The sequence below is a fragment of the Homo sapiens genome, chromosome 16 (genome assembly GCF_000001405.40).
Source record: "Homo sapiens chromosome 16, GRCh38.p14 Primary Assembly".
Taxonomy (NCBI): domain Eukaryota; kingdom Metazoa; phylum Chordata; class Mammalia; order Primates; family Hominidae; genus Homo; species Homo sapiens.
In genome coordinates this window covers 16,226,646-16,247,124 of record NC_000016.10, presented here as the reverse complement: position 1 = coordinate 16,247,124, position 20,479 = coordinate 16,226,646, and the positions used below count along the sequence as shown (strand labels likewise).

At 44.4% G+C, this 20,479-nt stretch overlaps 1 protein-coding gene across 2 annotated transcripts in view; it reads right to left on the bottom strand.

The window, feature by feature from the left end:
* NOMO3 (NODAL modulator 3) overlaps positions 1-14,597 on the bottom strand; it is a 62,284-nt gene extending 47,687 nt beyond the window's left edge. For both annotated transcript variants that reach the window (NM_001004067.4, XM_005255318.2), the window contains exons 1-5: positions 14,294-14,597; positions 10,135-10,224; positions 7,229-7,274; positions 3,864-3,964; positions 1,951-2,057 (exon numbers count right to left, since the gene is read on the bottom strand). In NM_001004067.4, coding sequence (NP_001004067.1) covers positions 1,951-2,057; positions 3,864-3,964; positions 7,229-7,274; positions 10,135-10,224; positions 14,294-14,458 — 509 coding nt within the window. In that variant the 5' untranslated portion in view covers positions 14,459-14,597. The remainder of the gene's footprint in view (positions 1-1,950; positions 2,058-3,863; positions 3,965-7,228; positions 7,275-10,134; positions 10,225-14,293) is intronic.

The window sequence follows — 20,479 nt, the reverse complement described above, 5'->3', positions numbered from 1 at the left end:
GGCATAAAACCAATCCTTGTAGCACAGCAGGGACCAGTCACAGAACATTCGACTGGGTTTGACAGAGGTGACAGGCATGAACTGACAAGGAGAAGGGGACAGAAGTGTCCAAGGAAACACATGGGAAGGGAGAAGTGGGGTGAAAAAGAACAGAACAGATGCACAGGCTGAGGGGGACGCTGACCCAAGATGATGCAAATGACACAGGGCAGGGTAAACTATGATAAGCTTTGAATCCCAGAAAAAAGGCTTTAGAGAAACACAGATAAGTCATTCTGGGTTTTTGCACAAAGCAACTGAGATAAGAAACCAGCAGCTGATGAAAATTACTCTACTAGCCATAGACAGACTAACACCAGAGTGAGCCGAGCTAAAGCTGGAAATGCTGCTGCCAGTATACTAACATGTTTATCCCTTCAAATTTGTAAGGCAACTGACAAATGAGAAGGCTAAGTCCGGTGAAATGAACTAGAAAACGCATTTGATTTCTTCTTCTGTGGTATTTTATTGTGTCAAATCTTGCCTGCAATAACTGGATAGGTCTTGGAAATCACATTACTACAAGTATTGGTAAGATTGAGGTTCTATTTCATTTTCATAATAGCCCAGTGCTACATGTTTCATTGTTTCAGTTAGTGCAGATGAAAGGTATTCAGAAGGCTCAAGACACTATTTTTTTCTAGTAAGGTCAACACCAAATTACTAGCCCAGAAAAAAAATTACAGCTCCATATTCCTGCTACACACCAGGCCTGGAGAGGCACCAGTCAAGCAGAAGTAAATGTTATTTCAAAAATGAAAACTAGTTTCAACAATAATAACTTTAAAATTGAATAACTTACTGACAGACTCATTATAAACTTCTATTTTGCAATTTACTCAGTTTGTATATTAACGGAGTTAGTAATGATTTGAACGCTTTCGGAATTATCAGTTTGAACTATTCTGGTATTAATCTTGGCATATCTGTTAACATTTACAACTCAACTATATACATCCATTAAATAAATGCTTTAAATCTGACTCAGCAAGGTCAGCTAGGCATCTGTTCCAACTACAAAGCAGTTTTGATATAATAATGATAATGATTTTTTCTAATCATAACTGAGCTAACCTATTTGAGCTAATATGCCAGGCAGCTTGAAGTAATAATATTAATTTCATCTTTCCAGTACCTTAGGAGATAGGTTCCACAATTATCTTCATTTACAAAAGAGGAAACTGAGGCACAGAGGGGTTAAGGAACTTGCCCTAGGTCAACCAGCCAGCAAATGGGGGAGCTGGGATTCAAGCCCGGGCTGGCAGGCTCCAGAGCCAGGCTGAGCTGCTAAATGAAGACCCACTAAGCCCCAGGCCTTGAAGCAGGTGCTTTATGGGTATTAACTCTTTTTTTGTTTGTTTCAGACAGGGTCTTGCTCTGCTGCCGAGGCTGGAGCACAGTGGCACATGATCACGGCTCACCGCAGCCTCAACCTTCCAGGCTCAAGCAATCCTCCCGCCTCAGCCTCCCGAGTAGCTGCAACCACAGAAGCATGCCACCACACCCAGCTAATTTTCTTCCCCCATGGGACTCTACTTGATATAATTTTTTAAATTATTTGTGGAGACTGAGTCTCCCTATGTTGTCCAGGCTGGTCTCGAACTCCTGAACTCAAGTGATCCTCCCATACTGGCCTCCCAAAGTGCTGGCATTATAGGCGCAAGCCAACATGCCTGGCCAGTATGAACTCATATTTAATCATCTCATCAATGCTAGGCAAGATGGGTCAAATGGATTCCATTTCACATGTGGGGAACTCAGCACTCTGACGGGCATGAACTCACCCAAACTTAAGAGGCTGAATCAGGATCTGAACCCAGAACTCCCTGAATCCAAACTCCCAAACCCAGCTCCATGACCCCTGTCAGAGCCCGGCTCTAAGGCAACACTAAGAGACAGGACGCTACTCACTTTCCGCCAGGCTGTGTAACTGTGGACTGGATCTTTGCTTCGGTCCCAGTGTTTCTCAGAGACACCTGAACTCCCGCAGGACCCAGGGGCTGCCCTTTGCTGAGGACCTGCCATGGAGAAGAAAGTTAGGGCCCACCCAGCAAAGCACCCTCCTCTCAAAGCACTGGCAGTCCTGCTTACAACTCCCAGGTGGAGCCCAGGAACCCTCTTTGGGTCAAGAATCCCATTGAAAAGATGCTATAAATCATGGATATGTTTCCTGGGGATGAGGTAGGAGAGGGAACAGTAACAGTAAAATAAGACTCTATTTCAATGAATCTAAGACATCATCAGTTATAGATTCACCATTATTGGTCTGGGTGGGTGTGGTGGTTCACGCCTGTAATCCCAGCACTTTGGGAGGCTGAGGCAGGCAGACCACTTGAGGTCAGGAGTTTGAGACCAGCCTGGCCAACATGGTGAAACCCTGTCTCTACTAAAAATACAAAAATTAGCTGGGCGTCATGGCACATGCTTGTAATCCCAGCTACTCCTGAGGCTGAGGCAGGAGAATCACTTGAACCCAGGAGGCGGAGGTTGCAGTAAGCTGCAATCGCGCCACTGCACTCCAGCCTGGGCGACAGAGGGAGACTCCATCTTAAAAAAAAAAAAAAAAAAAAAAAAGTAAATGTACATAAAAATAAAAATATAAAAATTAGCTGGGTCAGGTGGCACACGCCTGTAATCCCAGCTACTGGGGAGGCTGAGGCAGGAGAATTGCTCGAACCCAGGAGGTGGAGGTTGTGGTGAGAGAGACTGCGCTACTGCACTCCAGCTTAGGCCACAGAGCGAGACTCTGTCTCAAAAAAATAAATAAATAAAAATAAAAATAAAAAAAGGTTCACCATTATTTTGCAAACCATCGATAAAGAAAAAACTACCCAAGATCCCCATCTCTAACAAGAAGCCCACACATACAGCTGGGATGGAAGGGCCTCCCCGTCACCGCAAAGGTAGAGGAGAAAGAAGTCCATCATGAAGAGAAGGACAGGAAGGAAGGAAGCACATCTCAACCGCAGGCACAGGGCGGGTGGAGGAGAAATGACTCTCCCCTGAGAATCTGAATCACGGGAGCTGGGCACACACCCGTTAGGACTCTAAATTCACACCACCGTGGCGGTCCAAAAAAATCTCAGAACTTAAATAATAGGAATCCTCCTACGTAAGTGTCAGAAGCAGATGCACGCTCTCTCTGGGAGAAGCTGACTTCAATTCACCCACAGGGACAGCAAGATGCCACAAGGCTTAGAGAGTGTGTCCTTCCAATTCGGCATCCCTGTAAAAGGCCATCCCTGACATAAACGCTAACAGCGGCTGGGTGCACAGCGTACACCTGTAATCCCAGCACTATGGGAGGTGGAGGCAGGCGGATCACCTGAGGTCAGGAGTTTGAGACCAGCCTGGCCAACACAGCAAAAGCCCATCTCTACTGAAAATACAAAAATTAGCCAGGCATGGTGGCACACACTTGTAATCCTAGCTACTCGGGAGGGTGAAGGAGCGGGAGGGTGAGGCAGGAGAATCACTTGAACCTGGGAGGTGGAGGCTGCAGTGAGTCAAGATTGCACCACTGCACTCCAGCCTGGGCAATAGAGGAAGACCCTGTCTCAAAATAAAAAATAAAAAAATAAAAACACCAACAGCCTATGCTCTGGGAGCAGAGGGGATGACCAGCAACCTCAATCTCATTCCTAAATACACCTGCTGTGTTCTACACGGATGAAGTACAGAGTTCACAGGCTCACTTGCCACTTATCCATGGGTCCCTTGTGGGATCAAAGTCCCCAGGTTAAAATATCCTGCATTTTTTTAAAAAAGGATTTAGTATACATTATAGAGTGAACAGGAAAAATAATCAAGTTCCAAAGACAAACCTTGCCATTCACAGAGAACCCAGTGAAGACAAAGTTGATGTCCCCACCCTTTGTGCAGATGTCACTGACTCCATCCACATGGAGCTCCACGGTCGTCGGCTCTGAGGAACGAAGCAGGGGAGGAAACCGGGGCACAAGACACAAAGGCAAGCTTAGTTTTGGGGTACAGTGAACCTAAGTAGAACGTATTTTTATTATTCAGGTTTCATTTTACTTTTGAACACTTAATACACTCGTTGTGTTTCCAAATCCAAAGGTACGAAAAAGTATTCTGGGAAAAGTCTCCCTCTCACCCCTATCCCCCTAGCCTCCTGGTTTCCTGCCCCAGAGGGAATTCGTGTTTAGAGTATAAAATAATTTTACAACGCCTTTCAGCTAAGTTATATCTCAGAGTTCCAGTGAAAATTCAGTGAGCACCAAATAATTTTATTTCCTGAATGCTCATCACCGACCAGGCACTGAGCTGAGTGCCTTTAATCCTCACAATTATCTTAAGAGACAGGCAGTAATAGCTGCAATTTACTGAGGGGTAAATTAAGGCACAGAAAGGTTAAAGGAGCTCCCAAGATCACAGAGCTTCTGAGTAACAGAGCCCCAATTCAACCCTAAAAGTCTGGCTCTGGATCTGTTCTCTGACCAAGGACATGAGCTCAGCCATGTTAAACCAGGAACACAAACTCCAGGGCCACAGGGGCCTCATGGGTTCGAAGTGAGCGGAGCATCCTCAGGGGGACTGTGGCAAATTGAAAGGAGACAACTGCCACTCAAGTCTGCCAACCACTACCATGCTTTGCCAGAGCTTCCAACTTCTCCGAAAAACTGGAAATCTGGATTTTATATACCATCTCTTGATTTTTCAATATCAGCAATTAACTCCATTTTTTAACTGAAGAGTTCATCATAATAGGGGTTAAGGTTGAGTTTTTGAAAGGTTAGGAAGAATATGGAGTAATGAGTAGAGAAAAAAATGGAAAACCATGAGATGAGATTTTCAGTTAAGATGAATTACACACGTGCTTGCACGCGTACATGCACACACACACACACACACACACACACAAAGACTCCAATAAAAAATGGGCAAAAGACTTGAACAGGAATCTTACAAAAATAGCTAGCCCATGGCAAACAAACATAAACATACGAAAAAGTGTGCAACCTCATTGGCCATCAGTGGAATGTAAATCAAGGCCACAGTGAGATAATACCACACCCCCACCAGAAGGGCTAAAATTAAAAAAAACTGACGATATCAAGTGTAGGTTAGGATGTGGAGCAATGGAAACCCTTGTACACTGCTGGGAGAACACAAACTGGTGCATCCACTTTGGATGTTTGCAAACACCTAAAGCTGAGCATGTATCAGCTCTATGGCTCAGCGACTTTACTCCTGTGATATACTCAGCAAAAATGCAGACACATGTATCAAAATATACATACAAGAATGTTCACAGGAGCACTGCTCTTAGTGGCCAAAATCGGTAAGCAACTCAAATGGCCATCAACAGTAGAAGAGATCACTGATACAAAATATGAATATAAAATATAAATATAGGCCAGGCGTGGTGGCTCTTGCCTATAATCCCAACACTTTGGGAGGCCAAAGCGGGCAGATCACTTGAGGTCAGGAGTTCGAGACCAGCCTGGGTCAACATGATGAAACCCCATCTCTACTAAAAATACAAAAATTAGCTGGGTGTGGTGGTGCACACCTGTAATCTCATCTACTGAGGAGGCTGAGGCACAAGAATTGCTTGAACCCGGGCAGAAGTTGCAGTGAACTGAGATCACACTCCAGCCTGGGCAACAGAGCGAGACTCAGTCTCAAAAAAAAGAAAAAAATAAAATAAAATATAAGTATTTTATAAAATATAAATAATTTTATATTTATGCATCAGAATTCTCAACAGCAAAGAGAATGAACTAAAGCTACAAATGATACAGATAAAGTTCATAATGTTGAGTGAAAGAAACCGGATATTAAAAAGTTCCCTGCATGATAGCATTTGTATAAAGTTCAAAACAGACCAAATGGATCTCTAATTTGTAGAAGGTCAGGGTGGTGGTCACCTGGAGGGTGGGGCGGGATGGCTAATGAGCACCCAGGATGGGGACTTCTGGGGTGCTGGTGAAGTGCTATCTTATTATCTGGATGGTGGATACATGGGTGTGTTCACTTAGTGAAAATTCATCCAAGGCACTTTTCTGAAAGTATAATTCAATTAAAAAGCTTATCAACAGCACCAGTTGGGGGTAGGGTGGGGGGTGGCAAACACAACACTCCTCCAGGCCACCAATCTGGACTTCTGCTTTGGCCATGAGCAGGGCTGCATTCCTCTCCAGCTTTCTGGAACGTACCAGCCAGGCACCCCCGACCCTACCCCTGACTATAAACTGATAAAAGAGCTGCTCTCACAGAGCCAAATTAGCTGTCAGCTGCCTGAGCCTCATTTTAGCCTTGGTGATGGCAGGTGCTAAATTCTTCCTTGTCTAATGCACGAGCAAGCCTGATATCAACAACGGTGATCCCTACTCCTCTCCCCAAGCCATGGACTGGGGTCACCCACACCTGCTCTACTGAAACATCAAGAGTCTCTCCTCTTCAAAAATGTAAACTACATCAAAACAGACCCTCTCTTCTGATCTCAACCCCATCCCCAACTCCCCAGCTATGCTTGAAGGCAGTTATATGAGGAAAGTTTGGAGCTTTTGTTGGGATGTGTGCAGAAGGGCTGTTTCTGAATACTGAGTACTTGCTAATTACGTGCCAGCCCCTCTGAACACTCAGTATTGGTTTATTAATCCTCCAAGTACCCAGTGGGGCAGGGACTATAACTACCCTTGCTCGACAGTGAGGAGCCAGGCTGACACGGGGGAAGTAACTTGCCCAAAGTTATTTAACTGGTAAGGTATAAGGCTGACAGTCTTCTCATCTCATGGGACATAAATCTGGATTTTTATGACAAATCTCACAATCTTTAAATGTTTCAATTAATTCCATAAAAACTTAAAAAACTGAGGGGGCTAAAAAAGAAGCCATCCTGGGATGGGAACCAAGTCCCCACTCTTGATTTCTATACTGTTCCACGGCCACGTAATGAGTGAAACTGCAAGGGAAGAGTTTCCAGAAAGGTAGAAGAAAAGATGTCTATTTTTCAAAGGTGACAGAAAGTCTTGAGGTAGATTAAGGTAAATCCGAACTAAACCAGAGTGATGGGGGCAAGGAGGGGAGGAATACAAACCCTCTTCCATACTGGAAATGATCCTTAATATTTTAATAGTTTATGCACTCTGCTAGCCTAAATTAATATTCGGCATATCATCTAATCTTTTACAAAGAATGTCTAGTGATTCAGTTAACTTACCAAAACTCCACCCTAGGGGAGGCTCAATCTTCAGAATGAAATCCCCCTAAAAGGAAAAAAAGAAAATGTAATTTCAAGAAATGAGAATTGTGACTCTGGCTAAATTTAGTTTAGTGTTATCATTTAATCTAAAATTTTTTTACACCGGAAATGAAATTCTAAGAGTAAGCCTTGTTCTTCTACATGGTACTGAGCACTGATTCTCTTCAGAAGCTACAAGCTGAAGCTGAACACCAGAAGTTTTCATCTAAACAATCAGAAGACAGTGCTGAAGCCCATTCATGAGTTCTAAAGACACTAGGTTCAGCCACTCACTGTCTTTTAATACTAAACATACTATAATTCTATTAATTGAGTCTCCCATTAAGCCCTCACATGCCTACAGTTGCACAAGTTAGCATGTATCTTCAGGAACTAAAGGCACCCCCTAAAACTAGATTTGGCCAGGCACAGTACCTCACACCTATAATCCCAACACTGTGGGAGGCCAAGGCAGGAGGGTCACTTGAGGCCAGGAGTTCAAGACCAGCCTAAGCAACATAGCAAGACCCCATCTGTACAAAAAATGTTCTTAAAAAATTAGCTGGGTGTGGTGGCAGGCGCCTACAGTCTTAGCTACTTAGGAGGAAGAGGCAGAAAGATCACTTGAGCCCAGGAGGTCAGTGCTGCAGTGAACCATAATTGTGCCCCTGCACTCCAGCATGGGCAGCGGAAGGGGATCCTGTCTCTAAACAATACGTTAACTCATTAATTCAATAAATAAAACTAGATTTTACTTATCAACCCTGGTTTCTGTTTTTGTTTTAGTTTTTTTTTTTTGAGATGGAGCCTCGCTCTGTTGCCCAGGCTGGAGTGAAGTGGTGCGATCTTGGCTCACTGCAACCTCCGTCTCCTGGGTTCAAGCGATTCTCCTGCCTCAGCCTCCCAAGTAGCTGGGACTACAGGCATCCACGTGACACCCGGCTAATTTTTTTGTATTTTAGTAGAGACGGGGTTGCACCATGTTGCCCAGGCTGGTCTCACACTCCTGAGCTCAGGCGATCCACCTACCTCAACCTCCCAAAGTGCTAGGATTACAGGCATGAGCTACCACGTCCAGCCTCCTGGTTTCTTGAGACTGATACTGATACTATTTAAAAATTAATTAAATAGATTTCAGGACAGACCCAGCTAGTCCATCTCTAGAAATCAATCCTATGCATTCTGGATGAAGAGTTAAGTTCAAGAATATTTCCTGGTGTGTTATGTTAAAATTACTATTATTTTAAAATTGGGGAAAGTCTATATGTCCAAGTAGTTAAATAAATTACAGTTTGGGTTTGACTCTGACACACTATGCAGCCATTAAAAAGAAGTCAGTAGGCTGAGCATGGTGGCTCATGCCTGTAATCCCAGCACTCTGGGAGGCTGAGGTGGGCGGATCACCTGAGGTCAGGAGTTCAAAACCAGCCTGGCCAACATGGTGAAACACCATCTCTACTAAAAATACAAAAAAAATTAGCTGGGCATGGTGGTGGGTGCCTGTAATCCCAGCTACTTGGGAGGCTGAGGCAGAAGAATCACTGGAACCCAGGAGGCAGAGGTTGCAGTGAGCCGAGATCGCGCCACTGCACTCCAGCCTGGCTGACAGAGTGAGACTCTGTCTCAAAAAAAAAAAAAAAAGTCAGTAGATCTATCTATGCTAATGTTGAAAGCATGCAAGAGGAAAAAACCAAATGTCCCTCTGGTATTGAAAGCATTAACACAGGGGAAAAAATGAAACTGCAGAATAAATCCTATTGTTTGATTTCATTTGTATTAAAAAATATATCAAAATCAAAACTATGTGTATTGACTATTTTTGCAACTTCCTATGAATCTGTATTTCCAAATAAAAGGTTTATATGTGGGAGGATGGGATTGTATAGAGGTGTTTGTGGATACATATCGATGTGCATGTGTGCTTGTGTGTATTTCCATATATACATATGCATGTGTACCCGTGGATATCTGAATAACTATAAATAGAAAGCAATCTGTTAGGATGCACATCAAAATTTTATAAGAGGGCCGGAAACATCGGCTCACACCTGTAATCCCAGCACTTTGGGAGGCTGAGGCAGGTGGTTCACTTGAGGTCAGGAGTTCGAGACCAGCCTAGCCAACATGGCAAAACCCCATCACTATTAAAAATACAAAACATTAGCTGGGTGTAGTGGCAGATGCCTGTAATCCCAGCTATTCAGGAGGCTGAGGAAGGAAAATGGCTTGAACCTGGGGGGTGGAGGTTGGAGTGAGGCAAGATCACACCACTGCACTCCAGCCTGGGCGACAGAGCGAGACTCCAACTCAAAAGAAGAAAAAAAAAAACAACAAAAAAAACCTTTATCAGATTATCAGAGGTTATCACTACAGAGGGAGGTAAAATTGGAGCGAAAAGGGTACAAATTTATTTCACATACTTCTAAAGACCTTGACTTTCTTTTTCACAAAGTTCATGAATTCATGTATTACTTGTACAATTTTTTTAACAATACTTTAAGCTGCTTGCAAGTAACGGGTTCCATGAAATCAGAGTTTCTCAGCCCTGGCACTACTGACATCTGGGCTGTCGTAGGCAGCACTGTAGCACATTTAGCTCCACGCCTGGCCACTACTCACTGGGTGACTGTAGCGCACAGCCACAGATGTCACAACAAAAACGTCTCTAGACATTGCCAAATGGTCCTAAACACAGAGAGAGCCACTGTATTCGTCAAGGCAGTTTGTAAGTTGTCTCCCTCCAAATGTGGCTAGGATTATCATATTCCACTAATAATTTACAAAACAGATGAGCATTTGCTAGTGTAGGAAAGGACATGGTTAATGCAGCCTGGTGAGGCACACTAGTGACTTCCCATCATAAGTGACAAGCAGTCCCCTCTTACCTTATCATACAAAGGGATCATAAAGTAACCATTATTAGGGGCACAGTCTGTCTGGTATTTCAAAGTCCCATGCTTGGTGTACAGCTTTATCTGGAAAGGAAGGAAGGAAAACAGAAATCATAACATTGCCTTTGGGAATTAACTACACATGTTACACCTGAATGCACTCAGTCAGTATACATTCACTGAGGACCTATTATATGCCAGCTTTTAACACGGGGCATTACTGGGGACAGAGGGAAATCAACAAACTCTCTCCCAAATCATGTGACTCAATGTTTTTCAGATTAGAAACCACCTACAGCCTATTACAATGCCTTATTTTTCAATGCTTTTCTGTTTATTTTAGTGGCTGCCTCTAGGTTGCTCGTGTAAGTTTCCGGGTCTAAAACAAATTTGCAAACTTTGCCATTAGTAAGGTGCTTATTAACATGCAAATTCCTGGCTGGGCACGGTGGCTCATGCCAGTACTCCCAGCACTTCAGGAGGGTGAGGTGGGCAGATCACTTAAGGTCAGGAATTTGAGACCAGCCTGGCCAACAAGGTGAAACCCTGTCCCTACTAAAAATACAAAAAAAGTTACCCAGGCATGGTGGCAGGCACCGGTAGTCCCAGGTACTTGGGAGGCTGAGGCAGGAAAATTGTTTGAACTCAGGAGGCGGAGGTTGCAGTGAGCCAAGATCATGCCACAGCACTCCAGCCTGGGAGACAGAGCAAGACTCCGTCTCAAAAATAATAATAAAATAAAGTAAAATAAATTGCAAATTCCTGGGGCCCACCTCTATTTCTCAACTAAAGGTCTGCAATGAGGGCCAGAAATCTTCCTTACTAACTCTGAATAATTTCAAATACTTGGAGCAACATTCATCTAGAAACTTAATTTTCTCATTACTTTCATTCTCCGAAGAAAAAGAGACTAAAAAGACATTTAATATCTGTCCTCTCTTCAAGGACTCTCTAAAACTCTTACATTCTGAGCATTACCAGACACGAAGTGTTAACCCAGTAAGATGCCCAAATGCCATCTGAGTCTTCCACGTGTTGCGTGGCCTTGGGCAAGCTCGTGTTCGGTTTCTTCAGGTGCAGACATAGAGCCACTCCTTTTCATGTGGTTGTACAGATTCACATCAATGCATATTAAGCACCTGCTACAGAATATGGATTCAAAGAAAAATCAGTTTGCGGCCAGGCATGGTGGCTCATGCCTGTAATCCCAGCACTTTGGGAGGCCAAAGAAGGAGGATCACTTGAGCCCAGGAGACCAGCCTGGACAACACAGCCACACCTCATCCCTACTAGAAAAAAAATTAGCTAGGCATGATGGCACGTGCCTGTAGCCTCAGCTACTCAGGAGGCCGAGGCAGGAGGACTGCTTGAGGCCAGGAGTCAGAGGCTTTGGTGAGCTATGATGGTGCCACTATACTCCAGCCTGAGCAACAGTGTGAGACCCTGCCTCAAAATAAAACAAAATAAAATAAGTAAAATGGAAAAAGCAGTTTGTATCACTATTTAATATCTCTCTCTGAAGAAAAAGGCAACACAGTGTAATACGTAGGGAACATACTGGGCTCAAGGAAAATTTCCTAAATGTACCTGCACAGCTCAACCACTCTGAGGCTCAGTTTCCATGTCTGTAAAAGGAAGCAGTTGGGTCTGATGCACCTAAAAGCCTCACCTCCAAAATGTTAATGCTCTATGACCATGAAACAAACCATGACACGAGCCGCTATGAAACAGTCGAATCTCACCAGCTAAGATGATGTACAAAGTGACTAACTCATAAAACGAACATTTGAACATTTGGGAAAGGACTCGTGTGAAATAAGGTTAAGCCTGTATGTAAAGTTCTCTGAGGTCAGTGACAACTTCATTCCCCAGTGCCTGAGACAGTGTCTAGCTTACTCTAGGTACTCAGTGAATTTGCTACAGGTGACAAAGAGATTCAGATGCATGCATTTAAGGCAGGGACTGGAAATTCACCAGACTAGACCGGTTAGGGAGGCAACATCAAGGGACATTCATCCAAAAGGATTCAGATCACTACAAAACCCAAGCCAAGTGTGGCAGCCTAAAGATCGGCTGGCTTTCCAGAGAAATAAAGCACCCAGTTTTTAATGTGAAACCTGCTGATTGTTAAAGTATTAGCAACCAGTATAATTTTTTTTTTTTTTAACAGTAAGGTCCCTGTTAGAGAACAAAATGTCAGTCTCATGAGAGTATGGAGTTTTGTCTGTTCTGTTCACTGTACTGCTATATCCACACTGGGGACAAGGCTTCAGTATGTGCCGGGGCTCAGTAAATAGTTGTTGACTCAATGAACACGATGTAAAAACACTCAGGATGGGAGAAAGCTAGAGAAGAATGGCGGCAGTTGCATAGGAACACAAAAAACACAATCAAGAAATAACCGTGAAATATCATGATTGTTTCTACATCTTTCATAAAGTACAATCAGGACACAGGATGGCAATGTAATCTACATCAAGATGGCCAGTATGAAATGTCTGATTTCAGAATCTGAATTACTTATGAAAGAATGAGTGTCCCACACCATCTGGACAGGCAGCCCTTGGGCTTAAGGAACACACTTTGAAATGGGTCACAAAACCTGTTCTCTGCTCTCAAGGTCACTATTAGTATGAGGGTGAGGGTGGAGGGGGGTGCCTGTCTTTTCCTTCCTTCCAGAACCCCTGGAAACTACAAGTTGCAAGAGGCCTTAGCGGCCTCTTGCATTTCAGCTTCTGAAATGCCCTGTGCCGTCTACAGCCATACCACCCTGAACGTGTCCTGTCCCCAGTGCAGACCTAGGAGGTGGCATGGGCACCCAGAAACATGTACCCAGGAAATCCTAGGAGCCCTGCCGCTGCCAGTGGGTAGATTCATTCAATGCCTGACCTCTGACCTCTTCAGTCTGAAAAAGCAGCAAACAAGGGGGCCTTGAAGAAGATCACGGATCCGCTTGTTAAAGAAATGTATCTGCTGGGTTCCACTGTTTCTCTCCCAACACCATCCTATAGGTACAAAAACTGAAACCTAGAGCAAGGGCAGGTCGCAGAGCTGGTGGGGTGTGGAACTGACTCCCTACCCCTCCCCCAATCCTCAGCAGCCCGCTTTGCAGAACACAGAGCTTCACCCTTCACTGCCAGCCCTGGAACAGCTCAAAGGTGCTTTCAGACGATCTTTGGGGTCTTATTCCCCAATCCCTCTCTTTGGCATTTCCCAGCCTCTTCCTTCGTTTTCTCCTAAATTACCTCCGAGGCACCCGCTCTTTTCCTCTTCCTTGTCCTACCCCACCATAAATCCCCTCCCAAAAATGAGGCCCAGGCCTTGCTCTGGTCCCCTCCCATCTACCGGGACAAATGACATTCTGCCCCTACCTCCATCCATCCCTTTCCTCTTTACGGGAACCTTTCTGGGTCATAATCCCACCGGGCTGATAAACATTTAACAGGACTTTACAACTTAATTAAAAAAAAAAAAAAAAAAAACCTTCAGCACAAATCTCTAGGGTAATTCCATTAACTACTCATTAAGGCAATCAGGGCAGCTGGCAACTCTCCATTTTCAGAAGTGGAGGGGAGCCGGAGAAATAAAAAATAGCTTTCCGGCCCCAGGGTTGCCAATACTGATCTACTAGGTCAGTATCTATGGGATGGGAATTGATGCTCTTTAAAATCATGCCGCGGGGTTTGGAGGAGCAGTGGATTAGAACTTCGGGGGGTTCTGGGCTGTGGAGTTTGGGGGATAAGACATGTGGTCTCTAGGTTCTGGAATGTGGGTTTGGGGAAATCTGAGTTTCAGGGGGTCTGATTCGAGGAGATCTCAGGTCTAAGTTTTAAAGAAATGGAGTCTGGGCTCCAGGGAATTTAGGGTCTGGGTTTTGAGGATCTGGGGTCTGTGTTCCGGGGATCTGGAGTCGGGGTTTTGAAGAACCTGAGGTCTGGCACCCCTCAGTCCTTAGACGACCCCATGATAAGAACCTCCCCTCCAGCGCGACTGGGGAGGGGCTGCAGGGAGCCCGCGGACAGCATAGCCTCGGAAGAGGTAAGGGCTCCAAGGACTCCACACCGCCCGGTGTCAGAGACGAGGCCAGCGCGGCCCAGAGAGGCTGAACCACCGGCCCGGCGACTCGGCGCCGGGCGGCGGGGCGGGCGCTCACCTCGATGAGAGAGTAGTTGATCTCCACGTCCGACTTGACGAAGCCACCGCAGCCCACCACGATGTCCTCCGAGCCGTGCGCCGGCCCCACGCCGCTCAGCAGCAGCACCACCGCGGCGGTGACCACCGCGGGCCCCAGCGGCCCCGCGCCCTGGCCCACCAGCATGGCCCGACCTCCCCCAGCTAGACCCACCGCCGGCAGCCGGGTCCCGCCCCTCACACTGCACGCCGCAGGCTCCTTCCTCCTCCTAGGCCGGCTGACAGCCCAGGCCCCGCCCCACCGCCGCCGCCAGCCGCCGCCGCGCACGCGCGCTTCGACCCCACGGTCACAGCCCCAGAAGAGAGAACTAAGGCGCATGCTCGGCAAGGAAACGAGACCATCTCTGCCTTCTAGAGGCCTGGAGGACTCCGCGCGACATCTGGCAGGTGCAACGCAAGGTGCATGCCTACAGGGAGAAGCTCCAAAGATGAATTCTACTTTAGAATTCACCATCACAGCTGGAAAGGACGGGAGATTTCGTTGGTGGAATTATCTAACAACTTTCTCAAATCTTTCTGACCCATATATTTCGCAGGTAAAATATATAATCTCACAAAAAGCTTTAGGGCCGGGTGTGTGGCTCACGCCTGTAATCCCAGCACTTTGGGAGGCTGAGGTGGGTGGATCGCTTGAACCCAGGAGTTCGAGACCAGCCTGGGCAATATGGCGAAACCCCATCTCTACACACACACACGCACACACACACACACACACACACACGAAAAACGCTTTAGGAATTTGTGTAAGCTGGTGTATTTTTCCATGATAAATGATCGATACTTTTTTAAGCGAAACGTGTTAATGTTAGCATATTAAAGAAAGTATGTAAGATTTATTTTAATCCTAGCTCTAATAACATATGCCTAGAAACAAATTTTGATGAGTTTTCTTCCCCTAAGCAAGAAGTGCATGCAGTCAGTATACTTTGAATTAGCTCTGCAAGATGAAACATGATTTGCCTGAAAACAAGCTCAAATCCAGCATATTTTGTCCCAAGAGTGAATTCATATGTACACTGAATTTAACTACCAGTCACCACATCAAAATACACACCAAAGAGGCCGGGCACAGTGGCTCACGCCTGTAATCCCAGCACTTTGGGAGGCCAAGGCTGGCAGATCATGAGGCCACGAGATCGAGACCATCCTGGCTAACACAGTGAAACCCCGTCTCTACTAAAAATATAAACACTTAGCCGGGCGTGGTGGCGGGCGCCTGTAGTACCAGCTACTCGGGAGGCTGAGGCAGGAGAATGGCGTGAACCTGGGAGGCGGAGCTTGCGGTTAGCCGAGATCGCACCACTGCACTCCAGCCTGGGCGACAGAGCAAGACTCTGTCTCAAAAAAATAAATAAATAAAATTTTAAAAACACCAAAAAATTGCTTTTCTAACCTAATATTAGGATTTCTTCCATTTTGTCTCAAAAAAAAAAAAGCTAGTGCTTTATTTTGATAGGTTTTGTATTTTGTTTCCAAATGACAAAGTAAGACTGAATTTCCCGCTGCAATTTGCCGTTGTGGCTAAAACTTAAGCAATAAACAACTAAGAAGCACAGGTTCAAACCATACAGTAGTCAAACCTTCATGGGGGCAAGGAGGGAATGAAGGGAATGACACATTGACCTCAGGGTCATAATCATGAGCGCATCTGATTTCAGTTTCTCGTGCTGCATTTTCACTCAAATACAGTAGACTCTCAACTATTCAGTGATAATGAGAAACCATTTAAATAATTCGTCTATTTATTGGGGTTTGTTATTTATAACCACAATTGAAATAGATGCCTTTTATGCAAATCACCAGAGGATTGAAAGCCACCAATTAGAAAGTGTAGGCCTATGGAAACCTCTCATCTTACAGAATGGGAAACTGAGGCCCAGAGAGGAAAAGGAAGTTGTCTAAGACTCTGCATGCAGCCACAGGTTTTCCCGGAGCTAGAGAGCAGGAATTGGGGCCAGAAGCCGTGGCTTACTACTGTAATATGAACATGTTGGGAGTCCGAGGTGGGCAGATCATTTGAGGTCAGGAGTTCGAGACCAAATTGGCCAACATGGCAAAACCCTGTCTCTACTAAAAATACAAAAATTAGCTAGGTGTGGTGGCGCATGCCTCTAATCCCAGCTACTCAGGAGGCTGAGGCAGGAGAATCACTTGAACCAGGGAGCCACAGGTTGCAGTGAGCTGAGGTCTTGCCGCTGCACTCCAGCCTGGGCGACAGAGTGAGACTCCATCTCAAAAAAAAAAAAAAAGCAGGAAGTGGGATCCCCAAGTTTTGTTCTGGACTCACCCCAATTGATTTCTGCTGTGTTCTTCTTGACTTTCTGACTATTTCCCTCAAATTCATCTTCAAATATAGAAAGAAATGAAGCACCAGGACTGTGACAATGCCAATTCATGGGGGTGGGATTGGGGAGTGGCTTGCAGAGAGACAGGGATTTAGCTTCCCCATAATTTCCATCAGTTTCCACCAAAACCAGCTCAGATAAGCAGACATGATTTACATGGAAACAGTAGACCTGCCACACTGAGCTTCATGACAAATCCTTGGGTTCTTTCTGTCCCGAAGCTTCCAGAAGACTCAGGCAGGAGGACAGCTGAAGGGGGCAGGGGAGGGGGTGCTCCCTGGGCCCAATACTGGATTTAGAGTGATACAAAAAGATCGGGGAAAACACACTGTGGGGTCCCTGCAGAAGGCAAGAGTAGAAGATGAGGACAGGACCCCAAGAATTAGCAAGGCAGCATGGAGAGTGCAGAGGATTTTAATTCTTCTCCCAAACTGAGCACCTGTGCTTGTCTGTCTAAAAGAGCCGAATATTTCATTCCTATCTTGAAACAAGTACTTGCTCACTGCAACAACAAAGAAATTGGAAAAGAAAACTAGGATTCCCCAAGATCACTGTGTTACCACATTTCCATCTTTTTATCGATGCATTTATGCTAGTATGACATCGAGTCATTTCTAAGAAGTGGTGGCTGGGTCTTTGACACTTTGCTTTAAGACCCAAGAGAGAGCTGGGCATGGTGGCTCACGCCTGTAATCGCAGCACTTTGGGAGGCCTAGGCAAGAGGATGGCTTGAGGCCAGGAGTTCCAAAGCAGCTTGGGCAACAAAGTGAGACAAGTCTCCACAAAAAAATTTAAAAATTAGCCAGGCTTGGTGGTGTGTGCCTGTAGTCCCAGATACTCCGGAGAGGCTGAGGTGGAAGGTTGCTTGAGCTCAGGAGGTCAAGGCTGCAGTGAGCCATGATGGCACTACTGCACTCCAGCCTGGGTGACAGAGCAAGACCCTGACTCAAAAAAAAAAAAAAAAAAAACAGAGACGGAGAGAGAAAAAGACTCAAGAGAGGAAGGTAAATGCCTTGGCCTTCTTCTCCATGTTCCCTAATTTAGGCATATCCTTTTCTTTTTTGCTTTAAAAAAACCAAAGCCTATTTTATATTATAATCTCTTTTATTCAATCATCATTTAGCAAGCACCTTTTCATATTCATATATGTCTTCAATGGCATTTTGTTTGCTTGTTCTGAGACAGAGTCTCGCTCTGTCACCCAGGCTGGAGTGCAGTGGCACAATCTTGGCTCACCGCAACCTTCGCCTCCCAGGTTCAAGCGATTCTCCTGCCTCAACCTCCTGAGAAGCTGAAACTACAGGCACGCACCAAAACACCCAGCTAATTTTTGTATTTTTAGTAGAAACGGGGTTTCACTATGTTTGCCAGGCTGGTCACAAACTCCTGACCTCAAGTGATCCGCCCTCATCAGCCTCCCAAAGTGCTGGGATTACAGGCATGAGCCACCGTGCCCAGCTGCAATGGCATTTTAAACCACTGGTTAGTAACCCATGGCCTCAATTATGACAGTAATAATAAAAGCTAAGTCTTCTGAGCATTTAATGTATATCTGGCAGTGTGCTAAACGCTTGCATAATCTCACTAAGTTCTCCCCACCACTCCACGGGTAGACAGTGTCCATTCCAGCAGTGAGGGGACTGTGACGTGGTCTCCATCCTATCTCCCTCGGATATTATGAAAAATATCACAGAGTGTACACCCACTGTGATATTAGGAGAAAGCTCTCCCTTGGGTATTAGAATAATATCACAGGGTGTACACTCACTGTGATATCAGGAGTAAAATCTCCCTTGGATACTATGAATAATATCACACAGTGCACACCCACTGTGACGCGGTACAACCACTGAGATATTAGGAATAATATCTCCCACGGATATTAGGAATAATATCTCCCTCAGATATTATCACACCCACTTTGATATTGGAAGTAATATCTCCCTCGGATGTTATGAATAATATAGGAGGGTGTACACTCACTGTGATATGGAGAGTAATACCTGCCTCAGATATTACAAATAATATCATAGGGTGTAAACCCACCGTGATATTGGGAGTAATATCTCCCTCGGATATTATGAATAATATCCTAGGGTTTACAAACATGGTGTACACCCACTATGATATTAGGAGTAATATCTCCCTAAAATATTACTAATAATATTACAGGGTGTACACACAGGGTGTACACCCACTGTGATATTAAAAGTAATATATCTGTAAAATATGAGTACACCCACTATGATATTAGGAGTAGTATCTCCCTAAAATATTACAAATAATATCCCCCCAGTATATAACAGATAATATCATAGGGTGTACACCCACTGTGATATTAGTTATAATAATATCTTCTTGGGATATAAGGAATAACATCACAGGGTGTACACCCACTGTGATATTAGGGGTAATAATATCTACTTAGCACATAACGAATAATATGAGAGGGTGTACACCCACTGTGATATCAGAGGAAGTAATATCTCCTCAGGGTGTACACCCACTGTGATATTAGTAGTAATATCTCCCTAAAATATTACGAATAATATTACAGAGTGTACACACAGGGTGCACACCCACTGTGATATTAAGGGTAATAATATCTCCAGAAAATTTGACACACCCTGTGATATTAGCAGTAATAACATCTCACCAGGATATAATAAATAATATCACAGGGTGTACACCCACAGTGATATTAGATGTAATAATATCTTCCCATGATGTAATGGATAATATGACAGGGCGTACACCCACTGTGATACTAGGGGTAACAATATCTCCCCAGGATATAACGAATAATATCACAGGGTGTACACCAACTGTGATATTAGGGGTAATAACATCTTCCATGAATATAGCGAAGAATATCACAGGGTGTACAACCACTGTGATAATAGGAATAATATGTCTCCAGGATAAAACAAATAATATCACAGGGTGTACTCCCACTGTGATATTAGCAGTAATGTTTCCCTCGGATATTGCAAATAATATCACAGGGTGTACATCCACTGTGATATTGAGAGTAATATCTCCCTCGAATATTATGAATAATACCACAGGGTGTTAACCCACTGTGATACTGGGAGTAATATCTCCCTCGGATATTATGAATCGTATCACACGGTGTACAGGGTGTACACCCACTGTGATATTGGCAGTAATATCTCTCTCAGATATTATGAATAATATCACAGTGTTTACAAACATGCTGTACACCCACAACGATATTAGGAGTAATATCTCCCTAAAATATTACAAATAATATCATAGGGTGTACAAACATGGTATACACTGACTGTGATATTAGGAGTAATATCTCCCTAAAATATTATGAATAACATCACAGGGTGTAAACACAGGGATACAGCCACTGTGAAATTAAGAGTAATATCGCCCCAAGATATAATCAATACTGTCACAGTGGGTACACACACTGTGATATTATGGGTAATAATATCTCCAGAAAATTTGATGAATAATATCACAGGGTATACACCCACTGTGATATTAGGGGTAGTAACATCTCTCAAGGATATAACGAATAATATGACAGGGTGTACATCCACTGTGATATTATGGGTAACAATATCTCCCTAGGATGTAACGAATAATATCACAGGGTGTACACCCACTGTGATAAGAGGAATAATAATATTTCTCAAGGATATAACAAATAATATGACAGGGTGTACATCCACTGTGATATTATGGGTAATACTATCTCCCCACTACATAATGAATAATATCACAGAGTGTACACCACTGTGATATTAGGGGTAATAACATCTTCCCCA